The 12,323-nt window shown below is 31.6% G+C and overlaps 1 long non-coding RNA gene across 6 annotated transcripts in view; it reads left to right on the forward strand.

The window, feature by feature from the left end:
- The window catches only part of LOC101927605 (uncharacterized), a 187,474-nt gene that overhangs the window by 130,628 nt on the left and 44,523 nt on the right, over positions 1–12,323 (forward strand). For 2 of the 6 annotated variants that reach the window (XR_002957906.2, XR_007065084.1), the window contains 2 exons: positions 5,612–5,747; positions 8,406–8,957. The exons of the other annotated variants lie outside the window; for them this stretch is intronic. This is a non-coding gene — a long non-coding RNA (uncharacterized LOC101927605). Of the gene's footprint in view, positions 1–5,611; positions 5,748–8,405; positions 8,958–12,323 lie in introns of those variants that run through there. 6 annotated transcript variants of the gene reach the window in all.

A 12,323-nucleotide genomic window follows, 5' to 3' on the forward strand; every position in this document is an offset into this window, starting at 1 on the left:
AGGGAGCAGATGGAATGCATACGTAGAACTCTATATTATCTGTTAGATTATTCTGTAAATCTAACACTGTGGTAAAAAATAGTGTATTCATTATTAAAATAATACATACAAGATGCCGACATTTCAACCGTAGAGCAGTTTCAAAAAGCAAAAGGATTTTAGTCACAATTTTGCTTTTCCACCTCTCTTAGTCTTTAAATACAAATGGATTATCTATAGAACTGGCAAATCCGCAACACAATGAGACCCTTAATGTTTTTATCCCATATTTAAATGGTGATGGGGTTGCATTAAAGGAAGAAAACATATTCATGCTTAAAAATTATATTACAATGTTTGTAAAGATACTAAAAGGAAATATTTGTCTGCAATTCAAATTTTAACATCAATGAATAAATAGTCCTTTGTATTACAGCTATTCATTTGATATATATTTTTTCTTTAGCAATAATTTTTTTAGTGACTTGAGTAATGGAATGACATATTAGCTATGATCCCTGGACAAGGAGTTCATAGTCAAGGTGAAATAACATATATATATATATATATGTGTGTGTGTGTGTGTGTGGGTGTGGGTGTAATCTATTAATCTGTTTGTATCTTTATATGTAAAGTGAGTATCTTATACGTAATATAAAGTTGTGTATTGTTTTCCATCCATTCTGCTAGTCATTGTCTCTTAATTGGCAATTTTAGACTATTCACATTTCAAGTGATCATTGTATAGTTGGATTAATATCTATTATCTTTGTAAGCACTCTCTATACTTCTTCTTTGTTTCTTCTTTTCTAATTTTCCCTTTTCCGCCTTTCGTGGTTTTAAATAAGTATCTTATATGATTCGATTTTTCTAGTATATACATAGTATTTGGCACATTATGGAGTAGAAAGGAGACTTTCTGTGCTTTAAAAAAAATGAAGTAAGAGAAATTAGTGTAAACTATGTGGCTTGAACAGGCTAATTCGCCAGAAAAACTGTAGTTGTACTACAGACAACTGCTCTGGATGATTCTGTCACTATCTTATGTCTGTAGGGAAATATTTGTGGGATAAGACTGACAAGAACTGACATTAACCAAGGCATCAACATATAAAAATGCTCAATATGTCTTACCATAGCAAGTATATCTGTATCATATGCTCAGAAGAAGAAGTGTAAATGTAAACGTCTGCAAGAAACGAGAAAAGAAAGTTGAAAGCAAACAGTCCTTTAAATGCCCCATGAAAAAGAATGGATTTTAGTGTAAGAACAACACCTAGGACACCAGAAAGTCTGCATATGAAATACACATGCTACATGTCTCACTTGGGATCACTGATCCTAAGAATACTACTATGAGTTCTGGCTTCTCTGATGCAGAAGGGAGAAGGACCTGCTTAGTGGCAGAACATCCCATTAGGAATCTACTGTCATTTAATTAGGATAGGTAACCACTGAGAAATAATGATTTAATTAGAATAGGTGATGGTAGAGAGGAGGAAAATAAGAAAGTTATCTCTAAGATGTCTGAAGTAAAATGAAATGGATTTAGCTACTTTTTGAGTCTTTACCTTCATGTCCAAAGTTACTCCTTACTCTTCACTTGTGTAAATTTGGTGATTTTGCATACAGTTTACAGTTTTGTGTCTGTAATGGCATGACAGTGGCATGTATATTTTAACCAGTATTATTCCTTCTTGAGAAGCATTATTCCTTCTCTAACAATGGATCTATAGTTTAAACTTCAGTAGCCACTGAAATCAAAACATGTTCAATTTAATAATCTTTCTGATAGAATAATTTGCAACTGAGAAACCTTAAAAATTAATGACGGAAACAGTTTAGGAAACCAAGTTTTACGAGAAGCTATTAAAACACTTACAAATATGATTTTATTATTTAGTATTATATTGCTATTTTTTGTTTCAGTAAAGATGATATCTGACATTTTATGTGTCTTAATGCGTAGCGGCTATTATCCTTAAATCTAAATTCTATTTAGTATACCTATGTAATACAAGTTCTTGGGATTTCATGCTAGATAAAAATTTTTGTTACCATAATACCTTACCTATTATTTAGATACTTATTTCAGAGCTGACTTCAAGTACAATCTTTTTCCTTAATATTTTATAGTAGTTTTTTGGAAGGAGCATGAGTAGTTATGTTCCTTTGTTTTACCTTTTCTTTCTTTTTCATAGCAGAGAGGTCTCTTTAAAGGGAAAAATACGTTTTATTTGACAGCTTTACATGAATGCATTTCCAAAGCCCTTGTGATAGAGGCAACCATTTCATTTTATCTAAGAATTCATTAAATCTAGGACTTTGTGGTTTCAGATTCTCTAGGTTCACTTTGAGCCTTTATTATGGCATGTGTCAGGTATTCAGATCTGATTAGAAGAACTCGATTCTTTAATCAAGATTTTAATTTAAGTCTGGAGACACATATTAAACACGTAAGTTTAAGTTCTTGATTCTTATTAGAGAATAACTCATTCTTCCATACAAACAACATTTTTATTATATTCCCACTGGACTTGAGAATTAAAAATATATTCATTAATTTTTCTGTAATTCATCAAGCTTCATCCATAAAAGGCCAGATAACTATTTTTAGTCCTTGTGAACCATATAGTTTCTGTCACAAATACTCAACTGCGCCTTTATAGCAGAAAGCAACAATAGGCAATGCAATAAACCTTTATTTACAAAACCAGATGAGTTGTAGGATTTGGCCCACAGGTTTTAGTTTGCTAGTCCCTGATTGAATGGTATGCATAGTATATAATGTAGTACATGAAACTATACCATAAAAGTACTAAAATTTAGTTTTACACACAGGCTTTAGGTTAATGTGGTGTCAATGCCTCAGTTTCTCTCTACTGCTGACTATAAGATAATCTTCACTAAAACAACATGGAACATATCCTTCCTGGTGAACACTTTCATCGACAAAAAGAAAAAAGAGACTGAGAGAGCCAGATGCATCAAACAATGTAAATCCATGAAATCCATCAGCCAAAGGAAATCAATGTTAAGAAAAACAAATTCTTGGAGTACATTTAACTTGCTTTTTTTTTTTTTTTTTTTAGACGGAGTCTCACTCTGTTACCCAAACTAGAGTGGAGTGGAGTGGCGTGATCTTGGCTCACTGCAACCTCCACCTCCTGGGTTCACGCCATTCTCCTGCCTCAGCCTCCTCCCAAGCAGTTGGGATTACAGGCTCGTGCCACCACTTTTGACTAATTTTTGTATTTTCAGTAGAGACAGGGTTTCGCCATGTTGACCAGCCTAGTCTTGAATTCCTGACCTCAGGTGATCTGCACACCTCTGCCTCCCAAAGTGCTGGGATTAGAGGCGTGAGCTGCCATACCCAGCCCCATTTAACTTGTAAATAAGTATTATTATAAACTCCACAATTTGGCTCTGAACTTTTTTGTCACCAAGGCAAAAAAAGAAAAAACTGATAAATTGTGAAGTTTTTATTGCCAAAAAATTTTGTTTTAAGTCATTTTTAATTAGATATCTCTGGGTTTCTGTTGAAAGTACTTTCTCAAATAAAGAGAAAGTATAACATAGTATACTACTGAAATTTCCAGAGCGAATAAAATGATAAGTCAGAGATTTTCCTTTTAATGTTTTTTTACAATGTAGGCTTTATTAAGCCCAAAATATAATGTTCCAGTATTTCAATAATTAAATAACAAATGATAAATTAATATCTATTAAATTACAGTTTATCGAAGCTATTCTATTGTTCGTGTGTGGTGGCTCCCGGATCATTTATGGGATACAGAATGTTGCCAACCGATGCTCTGGCTTGAGCTAAGAATAGAGGATAATTTGAATATAAAATTCAAACATGGCCAGGTGCGGTGGCTCACACCTGTAATCTCAGCACTTCAGTAGGCCGAGGTGGGCGGATTATGTCAAGTCAGGAGTTCGAGACCAGCCTGGCTAACGTGGTGAAACCCCGTCTCTACTAAAAATACAAAAAGTAGCTGGGTGCAGTGGCTAAAAATACAAAATACAAAAAAAAATACAAAAATACAAAAGCTACTCAGGAGGCTGAGGCAGGAGAATTGCTTGAACCTAGGAGGCGGAGATTGTAGTGAGCTGAGATCATGCCACTGCACTCCAGCCTGGGCAACAGAGTGAGACTCTGTCTCAAACAACAACAAAAACAACAAGAAAAACAACAACAAACATAAGGGGATGTTTTAATGGAGCCATAGTCATCCTTATAATGGTAGTAGAAAGCATATTATTGGATTAAATCCTTAGCATGAAAGCATAGCAGAAGAGAAAGGGGTGGTGAGAAACTTAACATGTTGTAATTGTATGCCATGAAAGAGACTGAAGTAATTAAAAGAAGTTTTGAAATACTTCAATAGAAAAATAAATAGTTCCCTCAGAACTACAGATCCTCAATACCAGATTGCATTTTGTCAAAAAAAAATCAATTGTTTAAACATGCTGAAAATAATTTGAAGTACTGATGCAAAATATCATTGACTAGAATTACATTTTATTTATTGCATTGATTCAATTAAGATGCTATAAATTCAGAATATTGCTGATAGGATTTGTAAATTATTAGGCTATTCAACCATTCTGGTCAAAGAGGCTTAGGGGAGGAAAGAGATTTATAATTTCATGGTTCAATGACATAATGAGCACTATTAACTTAATTAGTTATTATTAAAATAACACTTTATGCTGCAAACAGTAGAGCTCCTTTGGGGGCAAGGGACTCTTCAACTTTACCTAAAATGTTTTCATAAATTAAATATTTCACAATCTTTAAGTTAAGAATTCATGCAAGCTTCTCTCTTAAGTGTGATTGAACTTTAAAAAATATTGCCTTTAGAATATTGTTCTAAAAAGATATAAAACTAAATCATATAGAGATGGCTGTATAAAAATGAATGCATTAAAAAAGTGTTTGAGACACATTTCACTTATCTCTGAATACTAAGTAAAAAAGAAGTGAGGTGGTTTGACATTCCTATTTGACTTACATAAATATCTTTTTAAAGAGGAAAATATGCCCTCCCTAGGAGGGACAGCCAAATGCTAGGTGGAGCAGCTTGTCATGGAATATGATAACTTGGTGAGGGCTGCATGACCTAAAACCTTCAAATATTTAAGCTAATAATGAATGGTGTAAAATTCACAAGTGAATGAAGTAAGAAACAGAATAAATAATAGTTAAGTTTCCTTTTTAACTTGAGAATGTTTTGCTATATCCTTTTTTTGCTATATCCCTTGACATATATAAATTGAACACATGCTGTGTATTTTGTAACTCCCAGAAATACAATTCAAGACCGATATGATCTATTTAAGGCCGACAAATCTATATAACTTGCTTAAAATCAAGAAAGGTATTGTGATGCAAATTAAGCTCCTTCAGTATTGCCTTGGCTAGTCATAGAGCTGATCTAATTGTCCCTCTGTATTTTGGGGAATAGTAAATGATGAAGGGCATGTTTCAAGAGTGATAGACAATAGTTTGTCTTTTTTGCTAAGGTCCTACAATAACGTGAGGATGTTCATTATAACAGATAAGCAGCTATAAACTTCCCTTTATTATGATGAGATTAATTAAATTTTATTTTGAACCTTAAAGCCCTCAGAGACTCAGGATTCATGTGGCTCCATAAACATGGCCCAATCTATTGTCAAACCAGAATGGTAGAACTGAAAGCATCTCCAATATAGAAACATATGGACTTCCAAACTTGTTCACTTGCTATGGAAGCAAGGTATGATTCTGACATTTGCAAAAGTAAAAGAAAACTGAATGATTATTCTTAAAACCTGTTTTCCTCTTCTTTCCATCTTTTATTTAAATATTTTTCATCCTTTAATTCTACTGGCCACATCAGAGATATTATAGATCTATCATCCTTTATTGTGTATATTTCATCAAAGAGACATTGCCACAGAGTCTGCCGATTTCACATATAAAATGCAAAGTCCTTTCAGGCAAAAATATAAGAATAATTCAGTGAAATTTATGAAGTTTTTATGTTTCTAATATTATATAAAATGTTACATATTTTAGGATACATTTTCCTAAAATAATATATTGCACATTGCATTTCTATAGCAAGACACATTAATTGCCTGGAAGTTGAAGTACAATTGTCCAAGAGACATAGCTTTTATTGCTCAGAAAAATAAACAATTACAGGGAGGCTATTTACTTAAGACCATGTTCATGAATAATATGGCAGGAAATTGTCTAAACGCATTAGACTGTTTAATAATACTTTTTATTTTATTTGTGTCTTAAATATTTAAATTGAATTGCTTTAGTATGATATTGCTTTGTATTTTATTAAACATATGTAAAATGTGGTGGTTTTCTTTGTTCCAAAATTCATAATTTTTCATCTGCTCTCCACTTATGAGGGAAAAAAACTCCACACTGATTGTACTGCAGCTTTTCAAGAAAAAAAATGAAAAATACTATTTCTCTATAGTTTTAGTTTTCTAAAAATTTCTTCTTTTAAGATATGCAGCTGAAATCATAAGGCCATATGAATATTTGGCAATATTCATATTGCCAAATCATAAGCCTGCTTAATATGATCACAAGTAGATAAACTTGACTTCAAAGAATAATTATTTAGCAAAACTGTCTCTTTTTTATAAGCATGTTGGTAATTGTCTCATACACTCTCTTTACATGAATAAATCTAAAAAACTGATTTTTCCTCTTTGTAATTATTTTTCTCAAATTTTCTAACATATTATTACTATAATAAATAGGTAGAAAGCAACAAACAATTGCAAAAAAAGCAGAATGATAAACTCAGATTTAAGAATCAAAGAAGAATTTTATAGAATTCCTGTATATAGTATGCCTAATGCATCCCCCATAGTTTATACTGTGACTAAGGTACTTAAAGAATATCCCCAAAAACGTACTGGCTATTTTCAAAAACTATGGGACTGAACAAAGATATATCAATATTTATAGCTATTCATAAATACTAAGTAGAGTAACAGGATTTCCTATTAAATAGTAGCTTTTGAGCTGTGTGCATGAAATCTTAATTTCCGAATGCCATTCCAAACTCTTGCAAATGCTGCAGTTTTTCTTGCTAACCCATCACATGAAACTATAATTTAGACTGCAATCCCAGTTGACAGAGGTTTTCTTTCTTTACTTTCTTCAGAACCAAGAAGTGTGGGGATAGAAAAGTTGTATACCAATGTGTTTGATATCCAAAGATTCTTGTGATTAATATGATGTCATTAAAAGACCACACCTGCTAATAGTTGTGAGAAACTTACTTCAAGTCATTCATACATTGTTTATCCCATATATCCCAAACACACAGACACACACACACACACACAGAGACACTTCCGTTATTTAATAATAAGAATACTATGAAACTTTCAGTCTTTGCTTTTAAAAGCAAAGGTAAAACCCGCAATTATTTTTGCACCAATCTAATGTTGTTTTCCTAAGTTCTGGGTTTTGGATTTAATTTGGTATTATCAGTACCATCTTTCTACTAATAGTTTCCAAAATTCTGTAATCATGAAACTTAACTATAAGTAAACATTTGGAGATGTAAACCCCATATTTTTTGTGTCACTGTGATTAGTATGGCTGTATTCATCAGAACAAATAAATAATGTTAGGTTAAGCAATGTGTACATTGATATTGTTCTCTTTGAAGGTCAGCTATATAGGGCTTGTATTGTGGTTCTGTGAACAAATTGCTGAAACCTCCTCCGTGTATTTTGTGTAATTATCCAAGAAAGGCTTATAATCTAAGGTATTTGCTAAATTTCCCTTATTCCAGACAATAACAACAAAAAACCGGGGAAACTGCATTCAAGGAGCATTCTGTGAAACCTCAGAGAATACTTCTGCTTACCTCACTACCCAATTGTCAGTCACATGGTCAAATGCAAATACAGAACGATGGGAAAGAGTATTTTCACTAGCCACATCACTGACCACATTATAATTTAAATTAAAATTTAAATTATATTCTGAAGAAAAGTGTGGAATTGAAATTTAGGGACAAAATCAGCAGTTTATAAAATAATAAATCATAGTTTTATGTATATACATGAGAAGAATAAACTATTGTGCTAGCATATACATTATGAAACACAAATATATGTAATTTACAAAGCATAGAAGAGAAATACGTAAACAAAATAGAACTTCATCCTGCCTTGCCCTATCCAACACAGTGAACAAACCAGATTTGGGATGTTGTATTATAACAATGTAGAATAAATTAGGATTGAGGTTAATTACTCCTGCATAATGGTATTATTTAAAGTGGTTGTTATATAACAGATAGGGATTTTCTGCACCATATTCTTTGGTTGAATTAATTTATTATATTTCAATGATAACTGCTCAGCTCTATCCTTTCTAATTTCAGAGGTGTTTAACTGAAGATGCAGAAAATTTCAATTGAGGAATGCTAGTCACAATTATACCCACAGCTGATGAGAAGTAACATCAGAAATCTGCCGTCTGTTTCCTCCTTCAATATTTAAGAATTTCACTTTTTAAGTCTTTTTGATTTGAGAAATAACATGTTTAACTATCGTTAATATTTGAATGTCATACAGGTGAACACACTGTTATTTACAACTTGATTTCACTCTGCCATCATTCTACTACCTCCAGACAATTAGAAGCTAGGAGAAATGTACAGGATTAGTGTTCACCAAAACATTTTATTGAGACAACCTGCATTTAAAGAAAATATTATGAAATTCTCATTGTGCCAAAATTTTTAATAATATTGCATATTTCATAAAACAAAACTCTATAAGAGAATAAATAAGATTTAGGATTTTTGTGTATTTTAGGATAACCAATGCTATGAATTATCCTGAATGAAAACCCTGGGATTAATCTATAGCTATTCCATGTTTAATTTGGTTATTTCGGTAATATTTTAAATAAATGTCATAATGGCAACATATTTAACCCTGTTTATTCTCTTATTACTGTTTTACTCTGAGCTCTGTAACATTAGAGAAATGCAGATGCCAGTAATCTTAAATATTTGTGCCTTCATGTTTTTGGTGAAATGAATGTGATATTTATCATACTCATTTAGGGACATGACTACATATATCCCAAGCTGTCCTTTGATAGAAATAAACTGAAAAGTTGGAAAAAAACTTCAACATTTCAATTCCTACTAGAGACCCATTTCACCTCTTACATTCATGGATTATATTTCTACTGCTAAAAATAACAGTAATGATAGAAATATGTATTTAACATTTCCTATGTGCCACATGTTTTAATAATTTCATTTAATATTCAAAAAATTTCCATATGTCTTCAATTTATGTAGGCCCACTTTTCAGACATGAAATTGCTAGCTCAAATGTTATAGACTTTGATAGAAGGTTTTAACATACTGATGTAGCCCAACTCACACATTTCAGAGACAGAAATAATAACCTCTACCTGTAGCAATAAGCATGTAAAGTTTTAAAAATAATTTAATTTAAAAAGTAAAAAAGCGAAAGTAGTTTCATAATTTACAAAGTGAAAAGTGGTTTCAAGGTCATCCTAAAATAATATAATTTATGAATTCTGATGTGCATGTGTGTGTGAGAGACAGCCAGCCATCGTACATGATTGTGCCATATATAAATGTCATTTATCCTATGAATTCTAATACAATACATATGCTTTTTGAAATCTGATTTAAGTAGCAGCTTGAGGACCACATTTAAAGAGTTCTAAAACCTTAATAGAAAGATATGACACATAATAAGATATTCAGTAATGGAATTACTGGGATTAATGGTAGAAATGTTAGTGTTTTCTTAGATAATACTTACAATAACAAAAGAATTATATCACCAATATTCTTACCACCTAGAAAGACCTACCTTTACTGCTCTTTAAAGTTTTTTTAATGGAATATTAGTATAAATAGAAACATAAACTAAATGTATACTTATATTAACTATGAGATTTGTTAAATTTAAACATTTGACCATTTTCCACTTAGTAAACACTAATAATTTTCATGCCATTAAATAATTTTTGGAAACCATTATCTTCAAGGATGGTAATATTACATAAAATTGAAGTAACAATTTATATAAAGTCTATATATTAATCTCTACATTTAAAATCATTCCAAAATTAATACTTTAACATTTTATAAATATAATTATATGTGCGCATATAAATTTATTTTATTAATATCAATTTGTGAAATCACTTGATCATAAGGTATACTTATTCTTAAGTTAAAAAAATAGAGCAAATTAATACATCTAAAAGAGAGTGAAATGTGTACATATATTTTTGCTATCTTTTTAGCTGTATCTACCTTCATCTTTAAATAATTGTTGAAAGTTTTTTAGCTTCTTGGTCATTCTGTGTGTCTGCATAGTCTTTTGTATTTTATAGATATCTAGCTTTCTCCTGTAACAATAGACTTCCTCTACCTAGATGGAATATAGTCGGAATATTCCTAAGTCACATACTCATTTCTCTGACACAGAAGATGAGAAATGCTCTCAGTGTCCATCACCAAAGTCCTGGAAAAATATTTGAACTGGCCATGCTTAAATCATGTTTCCATTTGTGATCCAAGCATTATAATCAGGACAAAGTGAACAGTAATGGATTCAGAGTAAGGAAATGTGCCAAATTCTGTGGTCAAAGGGTCAGGATCTATTGCCAAAAGGGTTATAGGCTTGATGTGGAAGCTGAGAACAGAGTGATGTCATTTAATCATTCTATTATCTTCAGTTTTGCAATTTTTAAATTAATAATAATTGTACATGTTCATACCTATAATGTATGGTGATCAGATCAGGATAATCAGCATATACATCATCTCAAACATTCATTATTTCTTTGTGTTGGGAACATTTTAATAACCTTCTTCTAGCTATTTGAAAATATACAATATATTATTATTGACTGTATCCATCCTACAGTGGTATAGAATACTGGAAATCACTCTTCCTATCTAGCTATAATTGTGTAACCTTTAACAAATCTTTCCCTATCTCTCCATTCCCTTTACCTTCCCAGCCTCTAGTGGTTGGTTATTTGCTTTGTGTAATTCAAAATCAAATACTATAAATTACCAGCATGATGGTAAAATCAGAGGTCCTTTTTGTAGGGTAAATATTCCTAAAATAAGAGAACAATCAGAAGGGGCAGAAAATTAATTACAATACTTAAACATAACCTCAAATTCTGTATTTATTACTTGACTCATGTAAAATCCATAGGCTGTGTTTTTGTGATCCTATCCATAGGAACATGTTTTTATGATCTACCTAAAATAATTAATCACTGTAGTTTTTGAAAATAAAGGCAGACGAACAGCAACAACAACAACATAGCATGTAAAATTCACTCCCACCTTAGGTAGTGATAAATACACTTAATGTCAGTGAGTCAGGGGTACAGGGAGACCAACAGAGAAGCTACGTTTTTCCAGATGTTAAAGATTTGTAAACAGGTTACAGGAGCAGCACATCCTGCTCCGAATTAGCTTTGCCAACCAGATTACTAAAGCTAAAGGAAAAGAAAAATAGAATGCCTAAGCAACCCCAGAGACTTTCCAATGAGAGGATTGTGAAGGATGTTTGCTGGTACAGATCGCTACATGGGATAAACCAGGTTTTATGTTTCTATTTACATATTAATTGTAATTCAACTATGGCATAATTAAGGAGGCTCAATACAAGGTTGTATGAAAACAATTGCATAAACAATAAGTATTGGGCTTTTGAGGATTGTTACAAAGTTTACTTAAAATGCTGTCACTGTTCTTGTCTCGATTTTATTCATGCCTAGTTTCCATTTTAATGATTGATTTATTATTTCTCATAAATTTAAATGAAGCTAGTTTTGGCAGTAATACTCTTTTATTCCATTATTATTTCTCATGAAAAAAAGTTGGGGGTTTAAGATATTGCAGTTAGTGATTTTTTTTTTTCAAACAAGGGAGCAGATTAAACGAAATCTCTATCACAGGAGGTTAGAAATTATTTGTTTTTTTGCATGCAAATTAGAATGGCATCATGTCAAATTGATAAGTTACATTCTGTAGGAGTCCAAAAAGACAAAATTTAAATATTTAGTATTTCAAACATTAAAATAACTGTACAATGGAATTAGAACTAAGCCATTACATAAATATAAAAAATAAATTGTGAACAAATATGAAGTTATTTATTGACCATTCTAAAGTGACTATGTTATTAAAAAGAGTCTCTGTACCTGGGGAAAGGAGGGTTGCTTTTAAGTCACAGAATTTTGCAAATATTTGAAGTATTGAAAAATATAGCATTAAACA

The sequence above is a fragment of the Homo sapiens genome, chromosome 16 (assembly GCF_000001405.40).
Source record: "Homo sapiens chromosome 16, GRCh38.p14 Primary Assembly".
In the NCBI taxonomy this organism is placed as follows: Eukaryota; Metazoa; Chordata; class Mammalia; order Primates; family Hominidae; genus Homo; species Homo sapiens.